At 47.6% G+C, this 24,941-nt stretch overlaps 2 protein-coding genes and 1 long non-coding RNA gene across 7 annotated transcripts in view, besides 1 other annotated feature; 2 read left to right on the forward strand and 1 right to left on the reverse strand.

The window, feature by feature from the left end:
• CADM3 (cell adhesion molecule 3) overlaps positions 1–21,164 on the forward strand; it is a 31,699-nt gene extending 10,535 nt beyond the window's left edge. Inside the window, exons 2-12 of one of the 4 annotated variants that reach the window (XM_024448760.2) lie at positions 7,622–7,723; positions 8,521–8,612; positions 9,385–9,439; positions 9,787–9,927; positions 10,429–10,581; positions 11,274–11,411; positions 11,721–11,891; positions 14,215–14,305; positions 14,742–14,911; positions 17,602–17,727; positions 18,655–21,164. In XM_024448760.2, coding sequence (XP_024304528.1) covers positions 7,622–7,723; positions 8,521–8,612; positions 9,385–9,439; positions 9,787–9,927; positions 10,429–10,581; positions 11,274–11,411; positions 11,721–11,891; positions 14,215–14,305; positions 14,742–14,911; positions 17,602–17,727; positions 18,655–18,773 — 1,358 coding nt within the window. In that variant the 3' untranslated portion in view covers positions 18,774–21,164. The remainder of the gene's footprint in view (positions 1–7,621; positions 7,724–8,520; positions 8,613–9,384; positions 9,440–9,786; positions 9,928–10,428; positions 10,582–11,273; positions 11,412–11,720; positions 11,892–14,214; positions 14,306–14,741; positions 14,912–17,601; positions 17,728–18,654) is intronic. The other 3 variants (NM_021189.5, NM_001127173.3, NM_001346510.2) reach the window with 3 other exon arrangements.
• Positions 6,464–6,543: a silencer, noted in NCBI's record as "silent region_1453". NCBI's record gives its function as "represses an Ori minimal core promoter by ATAC-STARR-seq in GM12878 lymphoblastoid cells {active_cell/tissue: GM12878}" and the evidence as "EXISTENCE:reporter gene assay evidence [ECO:0000049][PMID:35858748]".
• Positions 13,836–20,273, reverse strand: CADM3-AS1 (CADM3 antisense RNA 1). The gene is made up of 4 exons (NR_037870.1): positions 20,101–20,273; positions 18,663–19,472; positions 17,637–17,710; positions 13,836–16,072 (listed from the first exon to the last, which is right to left on the reverse strand). It is a non-coding gene; the product is annotated as a CADM3 antisense RNA 1 (long non-coding RNA).
• Positions 22,726–24,351, forward strand: ACKR1 (atypical chemokine receptor 1 (Duffy blood group)). 2 transcript variants are annotated; one of them, NM_001122951.3, is made up of 2 exons: positions 22,726–22,831; positions 23,262–24,351. In NM_001122951.3, the coding sequence occupies exon 2, from the start codon at positions 23,285–23,287 to the stop codon at positions 24,299–24,301; it is 1,017 nt and encodes a 338-aa protein (NP_001116423.1). In that variant the 5' UTR covers positions 22,726–22,831; positions 23,262–23,284; the 3' UTR covers positions 24,302–24,351. The 2 variants fall into 2 exon arrangements, with proteins under 2 accessions (NP_001116423.1, NP_002027.2); NM_002036.4 differs by having other exon boundaries at positions 23,312–24,351.

Here is a 24,941-nt window from a genome sequence, read left to right on the forward strand (position 1 = left end):
ACTTCTGCCCAATGGCCTCTTCTTCTGTGTGAACTGGAACCTGCCGGTAAAGCCCTGAAGTGTAAGAAGATGCCATCCGCCCCATCTTCAGGGACTCCCTCTTCATCATAACCAAACTTCTCCAACCTACTGGGCATTTAGTAGACTTACTTCTCTTAAGGTCCACGGTCCTGGAGTTCCTCAGTATCATGCACAGGAGATGAGGCATAGGAAGAGTGGGTGTCAGCGGAAATATTTGACACTTAGTGTCAAATTAACCACTGAATTAGCCAGTCCACAAGGACTGCTATAAACTATCAATGAGTACAGGTCTCACTCACTGCCTGTGTGACCATGCTCAAGTTCCTAAACCTCTCTGAGCCTTGGTTCCTCATCTTTAAAATAAGAGGATTGGACCAGATGATACTTAATATCTTGTCAACTATAAAAATCTACACTTCTAAGAATCATAGAGGGGAGAATATTTTGGGCAGAATTAGGTGCAACAGAAAGAAAAAAGGAATTACTGAACTTGGACAATAGAGAGTCAGAAAGGGCATTAGTTCCATCCTTCTGTAAAATCAAAAGGATCTTAGAAATAACCACCTCTGACCCTTAGGATTCAGTAGGCTATGACCAGATACGCAAGTTGGCTGCAAGGTTTTAGGAACTATGTAAAATATATGTATTCATAATACCTTAAAGTTTGGATAGGGGAAAACATTTGAATTTTCTCTTAAACTTTGGATATTAAAAAATGTTAAGAATAATTGTTTTTCAGTGAGAACCAAGGGTTAACTCTAAGATAAGCTTTTCATTTTAACCCCACCTTAACACCCACCACAGGCAAGCTAGCTAACTATCTCAAAGATTCCCTCCTCATTCAGCCTGGAAAAGCCTAGCCACACACCATTCCCAAAGCAGAAAACAAAAGCCTTTCATTTTTAACCTGCTTAGGATGGAACCAAAAGATGTCTGCCAAGGTGTAATAATAAACCTGTTTGAGCCCAGATTGGGTACAGGTTCCTTCCAAATCTAAATCTCTTAGATAATCTAATAGTGTAGGACCCCTGGGTCCATAAATCCTGGATCTCTGGCCCAGGCTTTACCAAGCTAAGCAGCTAATACACATGTTAGGACTTCTTATAGTGAAGATTCTGTTCTCCATTCCTACTGACCATCTATCTTCACTCATATCCTGTATGCCTCCTAGGAGAGTAAAGCAAAGCTGGGACAGAGTAGTTTATCAAGAGGCTGCTTGATAAACAAGACTATAGGAGGAAAAACCAGACAGCAACAGAAATAATAGAGAGAGGAAACAAGGAGGAGCAAGGTCTCAGTAGCCCAGCCAGAAAGAGGGTGGATGGGGCAGTGAGGTGGAGAGAAGGCCTAGATCAGGGAGGTAGGCAGCTGAAGCGTGACTGAGCTCTGAAGTTCCAAAGTGGATGTGAGCTGGAACGCATTGGAACTAAGGAAAGGAGATCCTTTAGGAGACTGCTGCTTGTGAGGGGACAAGAGGCCTTTCCCTGAGGAGCAATGAAAAAGGAAAAAATAGTATCTGGAAAGAAAGAGGGTACCAGATGACAGAATAACTCCCACCCCGTATGGCTCAGCTTCTATTTGACTACACTATTATATCGTGGCCATTAGGGAATTAGGAATTTAATGGGGGACAGACAGAGTTAGAAAGGAATGGAGGGTAGGAAGTAAGAGAATATTTTGACATTCAGGCAAAGCCTTAGATTAGGAAATTACAAAGTGACTTCAGTAGATGTGACATCGCTGCTGGCTGCCCAAGAACAACCGAAGGAAGTTAACTGTACAGAGTTCCTTCTGACCAGCGTTTTGTGCTCTAAAGTCAAAGCAACTCCCCCAAATTTTGAAGTTTTCAGCTAAATCAGAATTCAGATAGAAGTGGTCTGATTTCTTCCAAATGCACAACCAAATATTCACTGTCAAAGAAAACTGTCACTCTGAGCATAAAGAAAAGCTCCAGGGGCTGAGTTCTAATCCTGATTTTGCTATGGCCAGTCTCTTGTGCATGTGATCCAACTGTACATAGAATTCACTAAGAAGCTGGGGTTAGGGAAAAATGAGAATGACATAATCTGGACAAGGAGCCCAGCAATGGATGTAGATAAACCATTCTAAAAGTGGGTCCCTTCAGTATTCTGGGCCGCAGCCCCCAATATGTTTTTCCCTTGGAGATAACACTCCTCCACCCACCTGTCATGGTAGTCGTGAGGAATAACAAGTAGGCTGGGATGAACAGTATTTTTAACTCTGGAGTTAGAGAAATGCTGAGTCATCATCATCATCATCACCATCATCATCAACTCCTACTCAGGGAGCTTTTTTTTTCTACAGTCAGGGAAGTGGGACTCTGGACTCAAGCACTGGCAAGGCCAGCAGCAGTTATTCAGGAGAGCTCTGTCCTCCTGTTCCACCATCTGACCTGTGCACCTGTGACCCTGTTTATGGCTGTAAGGCCAATATGTTATAGGTCCCCAAAACAGACACGGCAGGGACAATATATAAACCAAGCAATCCGGGGTTATACTGGCAGACTTTCATAGACTTTCCACTAAAGTTGCTTAAATTCAAGACAATACATTTTTATTTATTTGAGTTACTCATTTATTTATTCAATAAATATTTATTGAGCACTTATTATGTGTGAGACTCTGTGCTATGAGTGAAAAACTGAATAACAGGTGCTTTAAAGAAGCACATTAGTAATTCTCCAATTCCCACCTCTGCCACTCTTAATATGAACAATCAATAAGAAGAAAATCAGTGGGTGAAAGGGCTACTTTGTCCTTTAAAATGCTGGAAATCCTAAAGATACTAGAACCCATGAGCAAATAAAGCAAGAGTTAAGAAACCTCCAAAGCAATTCAGAACAGACAAGAAGATAATTCTTTAGTTTTCAGCCTAGCTGCTAGAGTGCTATGAAAACACAAGGAGATTTTTTTTTAACTAGACATGCCATTTGCTTGGTTATCTGAAGAGTCCCACACGGTAAGGCACTTAGGGGTCCATGAAATAGTCCCAAAGGTATAGGTGCAGGCACATTAAGGCATCCAAGTAAAAATGTACATTCAATGGGTACAAACCACAGGACCGTCAACACCACAGGTGCGCATTTCCAATTTGCTATACTGTCGTTTTCATCATACTGCAGGTGAATGTTGTAAATATTGTTTAGGTGAGTCACCCCTGGCCACAATGCAACAAGGAATCTTTCCCAGTTTACGCTCTACCCTACCACCACACACACAAAATACATGCTTCTGCAGAGGGGGACAGTGTAGTAAAGATGTGCAGAAAGCCTGGGCTTTGTGGTCAGAGAGGTCTAAGTTTAAAGTCCATCCTATCCCAGTACTTATTAGATACATCATAAGGACAAGTTTCTTAACTCGGCTTTAACGTGTGTGTAATAATATCTAGCTATTAAAAGGTTGTTCTGGAATAATGAATATACAGCAACTAATTTGGATCCTGACATATAGAAACTGTTGATAAATACCAATTTCTTCTGTCTTATAGTTTTCTGGGTAGTCTACCATCTCCCTTGGCCTGTTTCTTCATCTCCTGTTTGGTTTGCTATTTCCTCTCTACCGGCAGATTTTGAACCTAACTCTTACAGTAGAAGATGCTTAGTATCTGATTCATTTAATAAAGAAATATTTATTAAGCACCTTCTATAAGCAATATGCTATATTAGGGCCAATACTGGATGCAAAATGCATCAGACCCTACCTATGGAATCGTTATAATTTGGGAGGAAAGTCAAACTTGCAGTACAAAGTAGAAAGAAATGCATAATTTAAGAAAAAGCAGATAAAGTGTGTAACTCAGAGAAGTGGGGAATTATTTCAATCTGGGACAATCAGGGAAGACTTCTGGAAAGATATGCCACAAAATGTAGGCTTTATTCATAGATAAAGTTTAGACATGTGAAGATGGGTGAAGGGCATTATCAGCAAAGTTATTGCAGGCAAAGGAACGGATGCAGAAAAACAAAGCGTTCATAGAGAGAATTCCAAAAGGCTTCACATGCCTGGAATGCAGGGTGAGTGGAGTAGAGAAAACACAAAACTGAAATGAAGCTCGGCATCAGACTGTACAGGACCTTGAAGGCTAGGCTGACAACTCTGGGTATTATCTGCAGAGAGTGGAGAGTCAGTGACGGTTTCTAAGCAGGGAAAGAATATGACCGATATGACTGAAACTCTCTTCATCTGTTCTTCTACCTGAGCAACCTGGGCCTTCTCTCACTAATGGTTGTATGGTCTCAATGACAGAAGCTCCTTCCGAGCTCCTATTTCCACCTCAAATTCCATACCACCCATTCAGAGTACTCCTAAGTTTTCCCTTCCAGTCTGCATTCATTGAGAGAATTCATGCTGATGTCATAAATGACTGACACAATCTGAATCCAAAGAAGGTACAAGTCTTTCACAACCCAGGTTATAATTTCTGCTACTTATCCATGTTTCTGTTGATAGCATTATAATCACTCATCCACTCCCTGGGGAGTGGCCATTCGGAATTTATTATACAGGCTTACAATTTTATAAAATGACAGGATAACTTTCAAGCGTATTAAGAGACAGTTCTCAAGAGAAGACATGAGATTATAAGTGCATTTCAAACTTAGAGGGAGAAATGTCACCCCTGGGGGAAGAAAAAAAAAGCCACCTCTTACACAGTTTCTTAAGACACCACAAACCAGAGTGAGTGCTCTGTAAACCCATAGAGGCAATACATCATGTACATCCCAAATATGACATTTATTGGAGATCATTTGGTTATCAGTCCTCTGATCTGAACAATTCAGTTTGGTTTGAATGATCTACATCACTATTTCACTTATTCATCCTATGCAGAAAAAAGATGCCTGTGAAATGCAGGAGGAGGGGAGGGATGAAAGAAATATGAGCAAGGAGAAAAGCAACTGAGGAGGATGCAGAAAAAAGCACAGATGAAAGAAGAAGCAGCAGAGTGAAGACTAAGCCCATGCTGTTGGACAGAATACATGCTCTGCCTGATTAACAATATACATAGCACAGTGCCAAGTGTGGCTGAATGAATTACCAGAGCCAATTAAATGTACCGAGAGCCCACTAGGGGCTAAGTGCTAACGACACAACGGTGAATAACTTAAGGCTCCTGCTCTTAACCAGCTCAAAGTTTAGATGAGGAGACTGATAACTAAACAAGTAAATCACACTGGAATGCCATAAGAAACACAGAATGTCAAAAAAGCCCCCAAAGCACCATCAGAGGCAGAAGGGATTCTGGAGAGGTATGCTATTTGTGTGCCTTTAGGTAAGTAATTGAACCTCATTGTAAAAAGCAGTTCTATCTGGCTGCCTATCTCTTGAGTTTGTTTTGAGATTAAATGAATTCGTGGTTGAAAATCCACTCTGCAAACTGAAAGTCCTATACTATGGTATGAGACGGCTATTTCCTCCACTCATTTGAGCAAAGGCCTATTTAGTACTCACTGTGCACTGGATACCAATACCGAGGGACTGAGTGTGAGTCCTCTCTGTCTTCTCCCTGTCCCTCTGCCGTCCCACACCTTGGCACAACCAATTTGGTTCCCTACTGTGTGTTGACGTTGACACAGTGCACCCACGAACACACAACCGGAAAAACAATATGAGCACTCACCACCTTCAGGTTGCCTCCATCCTCCATGTGCACAGAAGGTAGTAGGGTGAGTGTGGGGCACTCAGGGAGAGCCCCTGCTGGATGTGACAGTCCTGGCCCTCTCCCCAGCCCCCTTTCCTTCTCTCATTCTCATCCTGCTTGCCTCTCTTTTATCGACAGTTCCCTTTCCCGCCTTTCCTGCCTACTTCTCTCTATTTGTGACTGTTTTTCTCTGTTTTCTCCGCTTTACTCCTTCTCAGCATTTGGGCATTAGCGCTTCTCCCATTTAAGAACAGAGTAATTCCTAAAATCTCCTGGAAGCTGTCTGTGAGGAGCAGAGAAGAGGGGAGGTGCCTCCATGGAGGCCAGGGAACCTCCGCAGCTGTCTCAGAGTCCCATTCCCATGCTAGGACTCTCTAACGCTGCCTGCTTCCTGCCTGACTCCCTCCCCTCTCCGGCCTCCCATTCTCTCCCTTCCCTCTCCACCCCCTCTTTATCCTGTACCCCTCCTCTTCTCCCTCCCCTCTCCCCTCTCCTCTCGCCCCTCGCCTCTCTTTCCCTTTGCTTCTGATTAGGCAATTCTCTCCCTAGTCCTGTCCTTTTCTTCCTCAGGGACCCTAAGCCCACGTCCCACTTTTCTTTGTAATCTCGACCTCCCGGCCCCCGCGCGCCCTCTCTCGGTCCTAGCGCCCCTTTCTCCCCTCTCCTCCCCCACCTGCCTCTCCCCAGCTGGCTCTGAGTCGCGCTGGGACGACTGGCGAAGTTCACCCGGGACTCCAAAGCCCGGACACGTAGCAGCTCTGGGCTCTGCTCAGCAGCGGATGAGCTCACTGAATTTTGCGCACTTGATTGGCTACTTCGGGGCGCTGCGGCGGGAGACCCTGAAAAGATTCGCAAGGCCGGTTTCTTTGTCCCTCCGCCTCTTCAGGTTGGGCTAGGGACTTAGGCCATTGGGTATTTCTTGGAAATGGAATTCCAGTAACCAAGAAAGGAATAGGCAGACAGGTAGGGGTAAGGTAGGTGCCAAAGGGAGCATGGAATTGATTTAAAATTGTCTGCAGGGGGATGTAGGAAGTAAGTTTCTTGGTTTCCTTAGTTTTCCTTGCAATACCTCAAGAAAGGCGTTAGGAGCCACCTTATAGGAAGAGAGGTGAGGAGGTGACGCAGGCCCTGGAAAAGGGGTTTGTTGTCCCAGAGGAAGGAGCAGACTCAGTCATTTAGAGGGGCTAAGGGTAGAGTAGGGAAAAAAGATAATTTGAGTAGCCCATAGAAGGTAGCAATCTGGGAAGACATGGTACAACTTTCAGCCCTAACCATGATCTGTTTCTTCAATGGTGGGAGTCTCACATTGAAACAAATAGAGCTTTGTATTTAAAATCAGGCATTGAATTTCTAGTCTTCATCTCCTATTTGTATGACCCTGGGCGAGTCATTTCATTCTATTTCCACTCTGCAAAATAGGAATGATAATGTCCTTGTACTTATTTTACAGGTTTATTAAGAGGGTTACATGTGAAAGTATTTTCTAATTATTAAATGTGTAGTAATTTTAGTGAATCATATGGTGGAGCAGAAAGAATTCTGGATAAGGAATGAGAAATCTTTGGTGGTCTTTCATTTTTCTCTAGTGAACTTCACCAAGTCACTTTTAACCTTTAAGGGTTTCATTGTCCTCATCTGCGAAGTGGGAGAACTAGACTGGATGAACTCTTAAGATCTCTTTGGCACTAACATTCTATGACTGACTGATAAAAGTTAGCATCCTCCTTTAATTCACCCCTTCAGAGAAAAAGTCACTTCCTTTTTCAGAACTCTAGTTAATTTCGCCCCTTGGTAAGAACCCTACCTTCTCTTAGGTATCCTGGTGAACCTATTTTTCACAGGGACCTAGCCTTTCCCACATGCCCAGCAATGAAAGTAGAGCCCCACACTGTAGCAGGATACATGTAGGGCTCATGCTTGATGGAGATTCTCTCCCCAGGCTACTGGCAGGAGCAGGATTTGGAGCTGGGAACTCTGGCTCCACTCGACGAGGCCATCAGCTCCACAGTCTGGAGCAGCCCTGACATGCTGGCCAGTCAAGGTGAGAATCCAGGCCCCCTCATCTCAATGTCCCTCAGTTCCCTCACTCATCCTCACATCCTCTCCCACTCATGTTGCCTTCACCACATGTTCTCACTCCTCTCATTACCACACAGCACTTTCTCCTTTCCATCTGACATTTTAGTTCTTAGTCTGCACCACCAAATTCTGTTGCACCTACTCCTTCTTCCCTTACTCCAGTACAGAGACCTCTGTACACCCTACACTTCTTTCCAAAAATAAAATGATTCCAGGGGAATATATTACTCAGAATAAAGAGGTTCTGGGAAGACACAATCAGGTAGAATTCTTCAAAGGGAACCAGGGACAAAGGGATGACTGGTCAAAAATTGGCACGTGGCTATGGTAAATGAAAGGTTTCTCAAACCATTTGAGAGGTTTTAGGAATATATCACTTTCAGCTTTACTCAGCCAGCTCAGTCCATGGTACACTAATCTCAAAATCATAGTTTTAATGCTCAATTTAGATGATGACTTGAGAAGCATTTCAATGTAAAGGGCACCTTATTGAAAGACACAGGAACAGAGTTCTAGTTCTAACTCAGATTAGTACAGTGAGCTTAGGCAATCATTGCATCTCCATTGCCTCATTGCCTACATTTGTAAAATGAGGGATTCCATGATCCCAAAGATCTCACTCAGTTCTACTAATTTTTACAATTCTTAATGCTGAAACTAACCACCAGGCTTGTGCTCCAATTTGGGAACAGTCACCCTGAACAGTCGATGCTATCAGTCAATAGCATCAACTCCAGCACGCACATCTTCATTCCTCAGGGCCTCTGCTCTGCTGGGAGCACCCATTGGCTATTTCTTGGAAATGGAATTCCAGTAACCAAGAAAGGAATAAGCAGACAGGCAGGGGTAAGGTAGGTGCCAAAGGGAGCATGGAATTGTTTTAAAGTTCTCTACAGGGGAATGTAGGAAATAAGTTTCTTAGTTTCCTATTCAGACATAAGCAATGTTGGTGAAACAATTTAGTGTCAAAGAACAGATTTTTGTGGATGCATTAGAATCAGACCTGGAAGGTGTTGTCTATTTTAGATTTGTTCGGTGGGGATCAGTGCTACTGAGTCACAGAGAGTCAGTTCTGAAGATGAGGGAATCAGTACAGGAAATCAGAATCCATGCTGTGGGGAACAAGGAACAACAGGAATAGTGTCATGGAGCCTGAGGGGCTCCCCGGTAGGCGTGACCAGAAGGCACAGTTGAGATTTAAATGCCTCATCCATAAGATATCTTCCTAGTCCTTTTTGTTTTGTTTTGTTTTGTTTAACTTGACTAAGGAGAGAAGGATTAGAAAGCATGTTTTCATCACATTGAAGAGAAAACCTTAATCCTTCCCTCTTTAAAATGACAACATCAGGATGGTGATTTGGGTTGTGTGTTGGGAGGCGGGTAACACTAATACCACGGGGAATATGCTAAGGGCCTTGACTGAAGGGAAGTTATTGTTAGACGAATTGAAATGTATGTAAAAATGTTTCACTTTTTAAAATATTTTGTTTGTTTTGCAGTTTTCTACCAGCTACCTCTTGTGTAAATGAATGTGCAATCCAAGAGCTGGTTTAGCCTTTTCCCCATTTTAGTTTTAGGATTATTAGTCACAACTGCTTCTCCTGTTCTTGTTCTTATATGTAGGTGGTGGCAGGAAGGCCAAACGTAGAACAACAGATATGTCTGTGTGTTTTCAGAGGTAAATGGTAGAACCATATCAGAAAAGACACATGTGGAGTGGTATGTGCAGATTTGGGGTGCCTTTACTCCTCTAAATGTTCGTGGCCCTGTCAGTTCATTCAGGAAACATTTAACAAGTGACTATTTGTTTTTCTGTGTATTCAAAGTAAGTAAAACTAAGATCTGTCTTTCCCTCCACCGCCACCACCACCTCTTTTCCTTCCCCCATGAAACCTTACGGGTACACAGAGACCTTGTGTACACAAGGGCCTTGGATGGTCTGAACTAGATGAGGTGTACTTTGGCTCAGAAATGGGAGGAGGGGCTAGGGGTCCTCAGGAAACTAACACTCTTCTACTCCTGCAGACAGCCAGCCCTGGACATCTGATGAAACAGTGGTGGCTGGTGGCACCGTGGTGCTCAAGTGCCAAGTGAAAGATCACGAGGACTCATCCCTGCAATGGTCTAACCCTGCTCAGCAGACTCTCTACTTTGGGGAGAAGAGAGGTAGTATCTCATGAGTTATCTTTCTCCGTGAAAACCATGGGCTAGAGAAGGGGACTGCAGACACCGAGGGGAACTGTTCCTGTCATCCAGAGGCTGAGAAACATGGTGGTCTGCTGTTTGAGGATGTAACAAGCCATGAGTTCCCCAACTGGTTCCAGTATTGCAGCTCTGATTTACAGCATGCATAATCTTACAGGGTTCTGGAGTGACTTCACCCCACAGGAGGAACTCTAACAGGAAGCTGAAGTCAGTGTTGCCCTAGGTATCTGACAATGAAGCTCACGAAATCCAAACTATTTTCTGAGTAGCTCTTAGGCTACTATGTCTAATGACCCAGAAAAGTGATTGAATAACTTAAAGACTGCTTAAACTCAGGAGCAGTTATTTTTTCCCCACCCACCATACTAGACCCCTTCCCCCAAAGAAGCTGGCCTGGGATTGGAAGGTAAACATGAAAGGTGCCAGTAAAATCCTAGCTTTCCATTCTCTTGATTTCCCCAGCCCTTCGAGATAATCGAATTCAGCTGGTTACCTCTACGCCCCACGAGCTCAGCATCAGCATCAGCAATGTGGCCCTGGCAGACGAGGGCGAGTACACCTGCTCAATCTTCACTATGCCTGTGCGAACTGCCAAGTCCCTCGTCACTGTGCTAGGTGAGACTCCCAAACCCCAGTGTCTCTACAGCATGCTTCCTTGCAAACAAACCTCCCTAGATGGGTCCCTGAAGCAGCTGGGAGCCAGGCAAGTCTCCAAGCACTTTAGGAAAGTTCAGCCTGTGTTCCCCTGGCAATGGGATAAAATGTAAAAAGAAATGGGTTTTAATCCTTTGTGCTCTACTTGCTGTTTGATCTAGGACAAGGTTCTTACTCTCTTTGAGTCTGAATTTTCTCTTATAACAGAGAGATGATCATACCCCTTCTACTTACCTCCCAAGATGGTGTGAGGAAAACACAAGACATGCATGTGTTATAATTTCCAAAATAAGTACCCCAGTTGCTTACATGCTCTCATCTTCATCCTATATTTCATCCTATATTTCAACTTCCTTCTTTGCGTCTCTGAGACTCACACTATTTCTGTGGCCACCCAATTGTGCTGTAAGTGGAGGGTCATATATCATGCCTGTGCTATGGCATTGCTCCTCACTGCCATGCTGTCTCCCGCAGGCCTTCCTTTCTGGTCCTCAGGGAGGAGATCAAAAAGAAAGATGATTTATCTAGTCTTCTACCCATCAGAAATTATAGTAGAACCCAGGTACGCAGAGAAGCCATCTCCACAGGGAGAGCAGAAGTGTGACCCCATGGGGCCTCTCCTTCCTATCCTGGCCATCCCCTATCCATGGCAGGAATTCCACAGAAGCCCATCATCACTGGTTATAAATCTTCATTACGGGAAAAAGACACAGCCACCCTAAACTGTCAGTCTTCTGGGAGCAAGCCTGCAGCCCGGCTCACCTGGAGAAAGGGTGACCAAGAACTCCACGGTGAGTACCTCCTGCCTTGGGGTTACAGGAGAAAGTGGTGCTGGAAAGAGAGAGAAGTGCCTGTCTGTGAACGTACACAGGAGGCATGGTATGGAAGAGAAAAGGGGAATGACATATATTTTGTGTGCACTCAAGTGCCTATGTGTGTGTTGGGGCCTACATTCTCCCTGCCACAACTTTCTAAGTTTATCTAGGTTGAGACTCACCATCTGTACGTCTACAATGAGGCCCACATGATATCTGTATGTTAGGTTTACTCTGTGTCTCTCTCTGTGTGTTTGTGTGTGTGCCACTGTTTCTGCACTCTAGGAGAACCAACCCGCATACAGGAAGATCCCAATGGTAAAACCTTCACTGTCAGCAGCTCGGTGACATTCCAGGTTACCCGGGAGGATGATGGGGCGAGCATCGTGTGCTCTGTGAACCATGAATCTCTAAAGGGAGCTGACAGATCCACCTCTCAACGCATTGAAGTTTTATGTATGTCATGGGCTTGGGGATGAAGAAGGATGAGGTATGAGATGAGGACCAGGGAGAAAGAGAATGCAGGTGACTGTGCATGAAACAACACGCACAGTTAAGTGAATAGGTAAAAAATGAAACAAAGACTGCCAGGACTAGGCCAGGGTTGGCAAACTCTTTACAGAGGGCCCAGTAATGAATATTTTAGGCTTTGAGACCCATACAGCCTCTGTGTCAACTACTTAATTCTCCGTTGTTGTAGGGACGCAGTCATAGACAATATGTAAACAAACGAGCTGGGCTGTGTTCCAGTAAAACTTTATTTACAAAAGAATGCAGGTGGCAGGATTTGGTCCAAGGGGATACCAACCCGTGGTCTAGGCCAGTATAATGTAGCCAGGCTGCAAACTGTTGTCGTAACTGTGGTAACTCAGGATTCCCAGGAAGTAGTTTCTAGTCTGCACTCCACCACTTACTAGCTGTGTGATATTCAGAAGATTACTTTACCCCACTGAGCTTGATTCTATATTTGCTAAGTGAAAGAGATGAGCGTGGGGATCACTACAGTTTTATCTTGGTTTAACAATTTATGATTTCAAGAAAATATGGGTGGTAGGAAAGCACAGTTTCCCTGGCATCATTATTCCCAGATCTTTTCCTTACTGACTGCTCTTCTATTTGCCCCAGCTCCATGTATTTTCCTGGGATTCTGACCTGAAATGGCCACTGTCACTGTCATTACTCCTGGCCCTTCCCAGGACACTCACACCCTCTGTGGAATTTGCCTTTAGTATGGTTAGGACACTTCTGAGGAAGTTTGGAAACGGGAATTTCTCATCTGAGGAAATTCAGAAATTTGTAAAGAACAGCCTCTCTGGGTGGAGGAACCAAAGGGAAAAGAATCAGCTAAAGTCCAATGGGAGAAGTTAGAGTTAGGAAATGGTGTATTTCTTGTCCTAACTTACCTAAAAGTTGGGCAGTTTTCAAAATAACCAAAGCCCTTCATCCTCTTCTTGTGGAGTCGACCTAGGCCCAATTATTTTCCTAACTTCAGTGTTATTTAATCATATCTTAGACCCATTACTCAAACTTTAACCTGAGGTAGGTTTAGGGTGCATCACTATTCATTTGGCAGACTCAATCCACAGGCCGACAATCCGGACTCTAGCCGCAGTGCTGCCGCTTACTAGCTGTGCTCCTTTGGCCAAAGCATTTCATCTTTCTGTGGCTCCTGCTTACTTTGCTGAGTTATTGTGAGGATAAATAAAACAATGCATGTGAAAGAACTTTGTAAATGTCAAAGTTCTATATTCCTATAAGGTGCTTCTCTGATTATTAGTTCCTAGTGTGAGGCCCTGACCTGGAGCTTTTCCCCCCGCCCCTTGGTCCCTGGCCAGAGCTAAAGCCTTGGTCCCCTGCCTGAGCCCCAAAGACTCCTCTGTTAGATACCAGACCATCTGGCAGTTACTCGCCAGGGACCCTTTTAGCCCAACTGTGATCAGCAGTCAGTCAACAAATGCTATGCTCCAGGCACTGTGCTAGAGGTTTCTATGGCCATGGGGTCCCAGAACGCCTATTCTTTCACCTGGCCTGATTCTCTATGTCCCATTTGATTTGGCTGAAACACGTTCATTAACTGGTTGTTAAAGTTGGCTCTATCCTTAGGGGAAGCTCAGCCTCTTTATCTGTTGTTCTCGACCAGCATCTGGTTGTATTGTTCTGAGCGGCCATCTGGACCTAGCCTCCTAAGCAGCCCTTCGGCGTCAATGGCAGATGCCATTCTTCCTTCACAGAGCCCTTCTATATTGTGTCAGTGCCTTTTTGCAGCCAAAATATGACCCTGGTCTCTTGCTGTTTCAAAGCTCTCACTTCGTGTTTGCACTGACCATTCAAAATGATGTTTTGTGTTCAAGCATTGCTTCCAGTTCTAAGCTCCCTTGCAGAGCAGAGAGAACTGAGAAGTTGTGAGCTCAATATGTGACAAGTTCAACTTTATTTGTTCTGTAAAAAATATGTATTAGGTCTTTCCTATGTGCTAGGAGGTTTGCTAGGCACAGGTAAACCACTCATTTCCCTTCTCAGCTTTCTGTTAAGACATCTCTTAGGGCCCACCAAGGACAGACCTTCCAGAATCCTATCACACAAGGTTGCAAGAGAAGTTGCTCACATATTCAATAGCAATAATGGTCCTTGTTCATGAGAAGTAGGAGAAGGAAGGTCTTTGTTGCACTTCTTGAGCTGCGGAAACATTTAGAGGTAGAAGCTGTAGTGTGCAACTAAGTGAGGGAATCTCCTAAGCCGTGTGGGGAGGTATTCATTGATACCATTTCCTTCTCCACAGACACACCAACTGCGATGATTAGGCCAGACCCTCCCCATCCTCGTGAGGGCCAGAAGCTGTTGCTACACTGTGAGGGTCGCGGCAATCCAGTGTAAGAAGATCCATTTCCTGGTCTCCTCCTTACTCTCCACATTCTCAGATTGCCTTCTTCACATAACAGCTCCTTCCTATCTCCTCTGTATTGTCTGACCTGAGCCTCTCATTTCCCTGACTGTCCAATAATGTCCGCCTGCAATTAGTTCTTCTGCAAAGCAGCACAAATGGGAAGGGGCCACTCCCTAACTCAGTCCCTGAGTTTCCCACAAAGGCCAAGTTAAAGTAAGATACAAGTCTGGAGATCTACAGCTTCCCCAGAACGAACCCCAAGAGGCCACCTGGCGTATAGCAGCTCCAGTGTCTCTGGCCCCGATAATTTCTCCAGCCTCATCAAACAGTCCTTGACATCCCTGCTCCCAGTTATTTTTTTTTTTCTTTTAGCTCCCTGGCCTATGCTCTCCTGAGCTCTTCTGATTTGTCTGCCTCGACAGCCCCCAGCAGTACCTATGGGAGAAGGAGGGCAGTGTGCCACCCCTGAAGATGACCCAGGAGAGTGCCCTGATCTTCCCTTTCCTCAACAAGAGTGACAGTGGCACCTACGGCTGCACAGCCACCAGCAACATGGGCAGCTACAAGGCCTACTACACCCTCAATGTTAATGGTAAGCCCTCCTCAGTTCTCTTCCTCCAGAATCTCCTTTCTCTGTCCATCTTATTCCCTTTTTTAAAATGCTTCCTGATAACATCCCCAAACTGTGACGGGGAGTGGAGTAAAGGAAAACCAGCCCACCACTGGGGTCCCTGAGGGCTTAGGTCCCAGGTCCACTCTAGAATGTGTAATGGCCGCTTAGTGAAAAAACATTAGAAGGGTGGGCTCTCATCTGCCTTTCTTTGGTAGTGGTGGCCTGGGTGACACCATCTTCCATCCCCTGCACTTGTCTGACAACAAGAACAATAATTCTGTGTGCAGAGGCCCCAAAGCCTCTCAAGTGCAGGCGCAGGTGCATTTCCTTCTCTAACTGGCTCTTCTCAGAGTTGCTTCTCCTAAGACTAGGTATTGGGTGCATGCAACTGCTGTCATTTTTTTTTCTGCCCACCTTAAGCACAGTGTACTGGGTCTGGACAGAAAATAGAGAGAAGCTTGTACTATGCCAAGAGACAGAATCTTTTCTCAGATGCCATATCTTCTAGAAGGACCAGGTGATGCTCCTTCTCTGAAGTTCTTCTCAAAGCTGTGACCACAAAACCCAGCTTCAGGAGTAGTGACAGGGTGACACAGAGGCCCCTTTATGGAGAGTTGACGGGCGATTTTTTTGAAGATCCCAATGGCTGTGGGTCCCGCCAGAAAGTCTTATCTTTTCTCAGAATAGGGGAAATGCATTGTCGGGGAAACATCAGAGGCTCCCTTACTTGAGACACTCATTAAAACAGTTGAGGGGATAAGAGCCAGGCCTCCCAGCGATAAGAGGTCTGAGTTCTTGGGATCAGAATGTCTGGATGGGTGATTCCCACTCCAGGGGCAGACCTCAGCATGTGGGAGCTGCCTCAGCACAACAAGGCTATTGTAGGATGCCAAGAGCAAGGACAATGCACTGAGCTCCGGTCTCTGCCCCCAGATCTCTCCAGACCAATCTGATGATGATTGGCAGTGAGAGAAAGTTCTTGTGCCCTTGTGGTTGGTATCTTGCTGATCTCCCCTCTGCTTTGTGCTCAACAGCCAGGCAGAGGGAGTCCTGTTGGACTGCGTCTGTTTCCAGTGCTGACGCCTGGTGGTAGAAGGAGCTACTGCATCTTCTTCCAGGAATATCCTTAAGTGGGCGGGACTGGAACGAAATTAAATGCAGTTCTACCTAGAGACAGGGGCCTGTAATTGATGACCCCAGAGGTCGTTTGGCCATGGAAACCTGTGCTTTTCTAAGGAACTGCCATTTCCATAGCCTGTGGAATAAGTATCCAGGATTGATTTTCCATGTGGACTGTCTCGCATACTCCCTGAGAGAGAGACAGCAGGTAACTCACTCTGCTTCCTCCAAGTTACACCATCACCTCCACCCCAATCATATCATAGATTTCCTGGACTCATCCTCTCCCTTCCTCCCAAGCAGGGCATAAAAAACCAGAACACAAATGTTTTCTTTTCAAATAAGGTGTAGACAGGCAAGGAACTGAAACGCGGGCCCAGCCAAGCCTGAGGAGACATAAGGTAGGAAAGACAAAATATGTAAGGAGTCAATGAGGCATTAAGACTCAAGCTGAGTCCATGGAAAACAGCAGCTCTCCCATGGGTGGGAGAGTTATGTCTATGGCTACATCAGAACCGTGTGCTGGGCCCGTGCGAGTCCTCAGATATTTGGGACTCTGGCTGTGGCTGCTGATGTCTTTGCCACACCCGGCCCAGTCTGTGCTGTTGATCCTCTATACAGGTTGTCAATCCTCTACATAGGTTGCCAATCCTCTACCTAGGTTGCCATGGAGGACAGATGCTATATATTCAGTGGCAGAGACATCCACTAGCATGAGAGAAAGCATCTTTTCCTTTGCACAAACACTTTGAGGGTGGCAAAGTGAAGACGGAGTCCCAGGCCTCCTCCTTGGGAAAGACTAGAGGCTTGGGGTTTCACTGGAACACTAAACTCACCTGCCACAAAGGAACAGTGTTCTTTACATAGATGATAGATTGTGGCCCCTTACATCTATCATCTTTCGTAAGGTGCTGTCAAAGTGCCTAATTCTTGGCTCTATCAGGTTTTACTGTTCCTTCCCTATCTGATCTTAGGGCAGTGGGTGAATAGGCTGAGAAGGCCCTTAGAGCTAGGGGAGCTGGCTCAGAATATCAAGCAGACAGGAGGGTAAGAGGGAATGGGGACAGAGAAGGAACACTCTGATAACCCAGAAATTAAAAAGAAAAAGAGGGAGAAAAGAAAGAAGGAAACAGGGCAGGAGGAGAGAGGAAAGAAGGAAGAGAGGCAGGAAGAAGGAAGGAAAAGAAGAGGCGGAGGGAGGGAGGAAGGAAGGAAGGAAGGAAGGAAGAAATGGAGGGAGGGAGGGAAGGAAGGAGAGGCATTAAAGCAATGATCTTTGACCAAGGCCAAGCTTCAGTGCCAAGAACTCAACTTAGATGACTAGGTATGGGCAGATTTATTTATTCATTAATCCATCAATTTGTTTTAACAAATACTATAATACAGGTGTGGCGTATAAGCACAAGATAAGGCATGATGAATGACACTGCTCCATTTTCCTGATGTTAGTACCTGTTCCCTGCTGTGTAAGACTATTCATGGCCAAGTTGGAATGCTATAAGATAAGGGCTCTCCCCAGATCTGACTGTGTGTGTTGCCCTTTCTTCCAGACCCCAGTCCGGTGCCCTCCTCCTCCAGCACCTACCACGCCATCATCGGTGGGATCGTGGCTTTCATTGTCTTCCTGCTGCTCATCATGCTCATCTTCCTTGGCCACTACTTGATCCGGCACAAAGGTCAGAGGCACAAAGAGAGCATCAGCAGAACTTGGGAGGGGCAGGGAGACCAATCAGAGGCAGGCACGAGGAGAAGCAGACAGTGGAAAGGGCCTTCAGAGACTTGTCAGCCCTTTGGAGTGTTTAGGGAATTAAAAATGGAGCCAACCCTATCATTGCCAACCCTGTGATAACTGAGCACCACCAACCCCGCAGTAAAGCCTGATCACTTGGGGATCGTCCAAGTGAAATCAAACCTTCCCACTCAGTCAGCGGTTGCTCCCATGCTGCTCTACCTCCAGGTCTCCTGCTGCAAGACAGAGAGCTCCTGAAACTGCATCTCCATCTCATTGCTTCCTGCGCTTTCTTCCTTTCTGTCTGTTTAACCTCATTTTCTTTCTCCTTTGATCTCATTGCCTTTCTTTCCTCTCCCCCTTTTCTACCTTCTCTCTTATATCCATGCCTTCTCTCTACCCTCTTCTCACATTCCTTCCTCTCAGACTTCCTGCTCTGCTATTAATTCTAGCCAGCGGCCTGACTCCATAGGCTGGTCATACATAAGCCAGATCTCAATTGCTTTGCTCATGAAGCTGACATAGCAGATCCCCCGTCACCAAGTTGCGTGCACACGCATGCATACACACACACACGCATGCGTGCAAGCACACACACACACACACACACACACACACACACACACTTCTCTTTCTTGCTTTGTATTATAGATGAGATTCTACTTAGGGGTAGGATTCATTATTCATGAAGGGTGTGGTCAGGTGAGGCATGTTGGAAGCAAAATGCGAATTAGGTAAGGTGGAGTAGAAGAGAGCTATTGGCAAGAGAAAAATTACTTGAGCAGTGTGTGAGTGGGTGGGTGAGAAAGTGGGCAGGGTGGACTCAGAGGTTGGGAAGCTGCTCCTGAGAGGAGAAGCCTCTGTCTCTACACAGGAACCTACCTGACACATGAGGCAAAAGGCTCCGACGATGCTCCAGACGCGGACACGGCCATCATCAATGCAGAAGGCGGGCAGTCAGGAGGGGACGACAAGAAGGAATATTTCATCTAGAGGCGCCTGCCCACTTCCTGCGCCCCCCAGGGGCCCTGTGGGGACTGCTGGGGCCGTCACCAACCCGGACTTGTACAGAGCAACCGCAGGGCCGCCCCTCCCGCTTGCTCCCCAGCCCACCCACCCCCCTGTACAGAATGTCTGCTTTGGGTGCGGTTTTGTACTCGGTTTGGAATGGGGAGGGAGGAGGGCGGGGGGAGGGGAGGGTTGCCCTCAGCCCTTTCCGTGGCTTCTCTGCATTTGGGTTATTATTATTTTTGTAACAATCCCAAATCAAATCTGTCTCCAGGCTGGAGAGGCAGGAGCCCTGGGGTGAGAAAAGCAAAAAACAAACAAAAAACAAAACCCTGGAGTGTTAGGAGGAGAGTGAAGGTAGAGGGGTGAGGAAGGGTAAGGGGCAGGGCTGGTTTCAGCTGGGGGCTCTCACCAGCCCTCCTTTCAGCCTCTACAACAGAGCAGCTTCCCAGACTTCTCCAGGAACCCAGAAACGGGATGGTTGTCGGCAAAGGTTGGGAGTGGCTTTTCCTCTGGTAGCCACACACCTGAGCACTACGGACAGGGAGGCAGGTGCCACCTTGACACCTCTCTTCCATAGCAATGGGAAAGTGATGAGTGCGGGAGTCCTGAGGAGATGTGGCCTGCAGACAACATGCAGCCATGCAGGGACCCAGGACTGTAACCTGGGGAGGACGCGGGTCCCTGCAAGGAAGAGTAGATTTGGAGAGGAAGGATGGAGGTGGACTCTCACCCCATTCCCCCCGGAAATGAACAAAGCCGGGCCCTTTCCATAGGAACTGCCCTTGGAGATAGCAGAGTGTGGCTGCCCCTCCTTGCTCCAGCAGCAGTGGGAGAGGCACTGCTCTGGGGCCTGAACTGCCTCTGCTTCCCCCCCTGAGGGGCCCCTCACTCTTACCCAAGACTCTGGATTGTTGCACGGCAACCACTCCTCCCATGGCATTGCTCAGCAACTACTTCTCCCTTCCCGGCCACCCTGTGCCCCCTTCCTGGTCCCAACGCCAGCCCTTCATCCTTCCTCCCTCAGCAGCCAGGCAGACATAACAACAAAACTACTAAAAGGAGCTTCACTGCAGTGAGCTGTTTCCTGCCCAAACTAAGGGAATAATGTGAACTGTGTGCATGTGTGTGGTGTGTATGCATGTGTGCATGTGTGTGTGTGTGTGTGCATGTGTGTGAGTGAGTGAGAGGCAGAGCGAGGAACTGAGGAGGAGGGCTAAGAGCCAGGGGTCCTGGGCAAGTGGACAGGGCTGTGGGACATGTTGGGGAGGCTTTGGGAATGGGGTATTCCTAGTCAGGGTTCACACCTCACCTGGGATGTTGTTCCATGCTGGTATTTCCTCTGCCACCCCCAATGCCCATCGGTCTTGGAGAAAGGAGTCCCCGGGTGTGTGTTTGCCCAGCTGTCCATTCTATCTCTCCCTTAAACACAGAGCATTCAGCCCTTCCCTGGATTTCCCTCCTCTGAGCCATGGAGTCAGTGCCACAGCCTTTGCTATGCACCTCTCAGGCCTCTCCTTGGCGTTGACCCTGGAAAGACCTACCACCACCTATTTTTTCCCATAGTCTGTACCCAGTGAGTTGAAGGCTGGGTCCCCACCCTTCCTTTTGATTTCCTGTCTTCCTTCTCGTGGCCCCAGCTGGTTGCTGTGGAGATGAGGTTCCTGGTCCTCCCTGTCCTGGCTGGACTGCCCCGCCTCAGATCCAGGATGCCCTTGGCATCGCTCCCACCCTCCCCCAGCTTTTCCTCCCTGGTCTGACAATGGGCATGCAAAAAGGGGCAGCTGCAATCTAGCAGGCCTGCCCACCCCCTTCAGTTCAGGTAATACAGTTGTGAATCTTCCAGCCGCTGGTTAGGGCCTTGGGCACCACAGGCAGCCCCTCACCTAAGCCGGGGCCTACTCCTCTTACAACAGCAAGAGAGCCCTGGGGCCCCAGGCCTGTTGAGCTTCTTGTCTCCCAGCACCCGCTTTTGGGAAAATGACTTTTCCTCTTCAAGCTGAACCACTCTGTCCATATTACACAGAAGCCATATTTGTACGGGGGGGTGGGAGGGAGAGGGGCTGTTGTGCTGTGTGTGTCTGTCCAGGGGTGGGGGGGTGGGGGAAGGGAGCAGGGAGGGGACCGTGTATCTTTATAATCTTTCTAACTCTCCTGTGCTAATCTCAGAGGGGTCACCCTCAATATATCTGGATTATCCGTGTCATTCAGCTGCCTCCTTTCTGGTCCTCTTGCTGCTGCTGGGATGTGTGTATGTGAGGGTCTTCTTCCCATACCCCTTGCACCTGGTGCCTGGTGCCTCAAAAGGTGGTGTGTCCCTTGCCAGGCCACTCTCAAGAATATCTATGTACAGCAACAATATAACTCTACAAGGGAGAGAAGTGTGTTCACTTCCTTTTGCTAAGCCCTTCCTTTCCAGAGAGTGTCTTGGGGGGCATCTGACTGCTTCCCCCCACCCTCTGCCAGGCATTGCTGGAGAATGTTAAGACGGCGATGGAGATGCCATCAACCCCACCCTGCAGAGCATCACCAGACACCACCAGACCAAATTCACTTTCCAGCCCCTTCATGTTGAACCTGAAACTTGAGCTAGTGTCTTGGGAGAAAAGGGGGAAATCTCTACGAGGTACCCATCCTTCTGCACCTTAGGTCTGAGGTGCTTGGCCCCCTAGGAAGCCCTACATGAATGGGACAGAAGGTCCTTAACAACACTGGAGATGAAGCAGCCGATGCTGTTTTGGACAAATGAAACAGCGTCCCCTAACCAGCCCTTTCTATCTCATTGTTCTGACTTGGACACGCCATGGCTCACCGCTCCCAAAGTCCCCACTATGTCTCCCTAGCTGAGGAAATAAAAGCAGAGAGGGGTGATGAAACAGTGACGATCCTGGGGAAACAGCTGAGGAGGGGAGGGAGGGGGAAGAAGCCACTAAAAAAGTGAAATGTGCTTGGGAGAATCGGCCTGCCTGCAGGGTAGATGCCCTTTCTCTCTGCTGGCCAGCTCTGCCCCTCAGTGAGAAACTTTACATATTGCTAAGATGCCTGGCCAATGAAACAGTTCCAGAGACTTTATGTCCCCCAGTAGAAATATGAATAGAAATCACCCTGTGGGCAATGGTCCCATTTTAAAATATGCTGTCCCATTGTCCCCTAGAGCCTACTTTAACTTGTCAGACCATGTATTCCACTTCATATGCAAGAGGCATGCACTGAGCCCATAGGTGGCTAGGCAAACACCCAATAGCTCCCTGAAATGGCTTCATTATGCAGCCTCGACAGCCACCCCAACCCTCCCACTCTCACACTGAAACACCCAGACCTAGAGATAGCTAGACACACCCAGACACCCGCCAAGCCCCTCACATACAGATATGTGCACAATGATACACAGCAAACGTACACAGAGTTCAGTACACACAAAGAGCTCACGCCCACGTGCACACACCCCTCAGTTGGGACAGAGTTGACCACCACCACCTTTCTCCCAAACACATGGCTTTTGAACTGCCTTTCCTTGGATCCAGTTCAAGGGGATGGAGGAGCAGTGAGAGTCAGCCGCCCTTCCACTCCAATTTCCCAGCACCTCCCTTATCTCTGCCTCACAAGTCACCCAGCCCCCCTCTCTTCCTTCCTTGTGCTTGAAGAATCTCTCCTTGCTGGAAAGCCCCCTGTTTTCTCAATCTCCCTTTCCACTTCGGTAAAATCTCTACTTGCTGGAAAGCCCCCTGTTTTCTCAATCTCCCTTTCCACTTCGGTAAAATGCCCACTTTCTGGTCCCCACCTTTTTCCTGAGTGTAGTCCCAACCAGCCAAATCCAACCTCAAAACAGGAAGACCCAAGGCCAGTGACCCCCATAGGCCTGAGGCTTGTGCAGGCAGTGGGCGTGGGGTAAGGCTTCCTGATGCCCCCTGTCCCTGCCCAGAACCTGATGGCCCTCATTAGTCCTTGGCTCTTATCTTGGAAGCACAGGCGCTGACAGCCGTCCCAGCCCTTCTGTCTGCGGGCCTGAACCAAACGGTGCCATGGGGAACTGTCTGCACAGGGTGAGTATGGGGCCAGGCCCCAGAGTCCCTTATCCCTATGCCCCTCATTTCCCCTGCTGTTTGCCCCTCAGTCTTTATATCTCTTCCTTTTCCTCCTCATCTTTTCTCCCTTCCTGCTTTTTTCCTCTTCCTTCAAAGTCTTTTTCCTTCTCTCCTTCCTATGCTAGCCTCCTAGCTCCCTCTTGTGTCCCTCCCTTTGCCTTTGAGTCAGTTCCATCCTGGTCTCTTGGTGCCTTTTCCTTCTGACCTTGCACTGCTCCTCCAGCCCCAGCTGCCCTGGCTTCCCCAGGACTGTTCCTGCTCCGGCTCTTCAGGCTCCCTGCTTTGTCCTTTTCCACTGTCCGCACTGCATCTGACTCCTGCAGAGACCTTGTTCTCCCACCCGACCTTCCTCTCTGTCCTCCCCTCCCACCTGCCCCTCAATTCCCAGGAGACTCTTCCGGTGTAACTCTGATGGCCTCCTCTGGGTATGTCCTCCAGGCGGAGCTCTCCCCCTCAACTGAGAACTCAAGTCAGCTGGACTTCGAAGATGTATGGAATTCTTCCTATGGTGTGAATGATTCCTTCCCAGATGGAGACTATGGTGCCAACCTGGAAGCAGCTGCCCCCTGCCACTCCTGTAACCTGCTGGATGACTCTGCACTGCCCTTCTTCATCCTCACCAGTGTCCTGGGTATCCTAGCTAGCAGCACTGTCCTCTTCATGCTTTTCAGACCTCTCTTCCGCTGGCAGCTCTGCCCTGGCTGGCCTGTCCTGGCACAGCTGGCTGTGGGCAGTGCCCTCTTCAGCATTGTGGTGCCCGTCTTGGCCCCAGGGCTAGGTAGCACTCGCAGCTCTGCCCTGTGTAGCCTGGGCTACTGTGTCTGGTATGGCTCAGCCTTTGCCCAGGCTTTGCTGCTAGGGTGCCATGCCTCCCTGGGCCACAGACTGGGTGCAGGCCAGGTCCCAGGCCTCACCCTGGGGCTCACTGTGGGAATTTGGGGAGTGGCTGCCCTACTGACACTGCCTGTCACCCTGGCCAGTGGTGCTTCTGGTGGACTCTGCACCCTGATATACAGCACGGAGCTGAAGGCTTTGCAGGCCACACACACTGTAGCCTGTCTTGCCATCTTTGTCTTGTTGCCATTGGGTTTGTTTGGAGCCAAGGGGCTGAAGAAGGCATTGGGTATGGGGCCAGGCCCCTGGATGAATATCCTGTGGGCCTGGTTTATTTTCTGGTGGCCTCATGGGGTGGTTCTAGGACTGGATTTCCTGGTGAGGTCCAAGCTGTTGCTGTTGTCAACATGTCTGGCCCAGCAGGCTCTGGACCTGCTGCTGAACCTGGCAGAAGCCCTGGCAATTTTGCACTGTGTGGCTACGCCCCTGCTCCTCGCCCTATTCTGCCACCAGGCCACCCGCACCCTCTTGCCCTCTCTGCCCCTCCCTGAAGGATGGTCTTCTCATCTGGACACCCTTGGAAGCAAATCCTAGTTCTCTTCCCACCTGTCAACCTGAATTAAAGTCTACACTGCCTTTGTGAAGCGGGTGGTTTCTTATTTTGTCTGGGGAGAAGAAGGAGAATGGAGAGAGAGACATTTTTATGTCAGACTTTCTTGCCAGTGTCTGCTTCTATAGCTGGCTTGGGAAGAAGGTGAATGATGAATAAATACCCTCAGGGTACACAGATGTTCTCTTGAGGTGTGGGGTCACGGCCATCTCAAGGGAGAAGAGAAGAGGAACCAGAGCATGAGGGGAGTCATTAAACCAAAAAAAACAGAAGGGATGGCTTAGCTGGAAAAAAAGCTGTTCTGGGAAGCAAATGGAATAGGAACTCAAACTGAGAGATAAACAGTGAAGAGTGATGACAAAGCCCAGAGCAATACCACCTCCCCCTGTCCAACCTGCCCAGCCTCTGTCTTCTGTCTCCTCTCTGGCTTTGTTTAGTGATTAGGACAGTGGTGGGGAAGGTGAAAGAAGCATCCCAGGGGATGTTACTCAGTTCAGGGAACATATCAAGGTAATTTAAAAAGCCACTTCCTGGGAGTCATCTCTCCCAGGTTCCTCAGCATGACCTGAATGTGCGTGCGTGTGTGTGTGTGTGTGTGTGTACACATCTGTTTCTCGATCTGTT

Source organism: Homo sapiens, chromosome 1 (genome assembly GCF_000001405.40).
Source record: "Homo sapiens chromosome 1, GRCh38.p14 Primary Assembly".
NCBI classification, from domain to species: domain Eukaryota; kingdom Metazoa; phylum Chordata; class Mammalia; order Primates; family Hominidae; genus Homo; species Homo sapiens.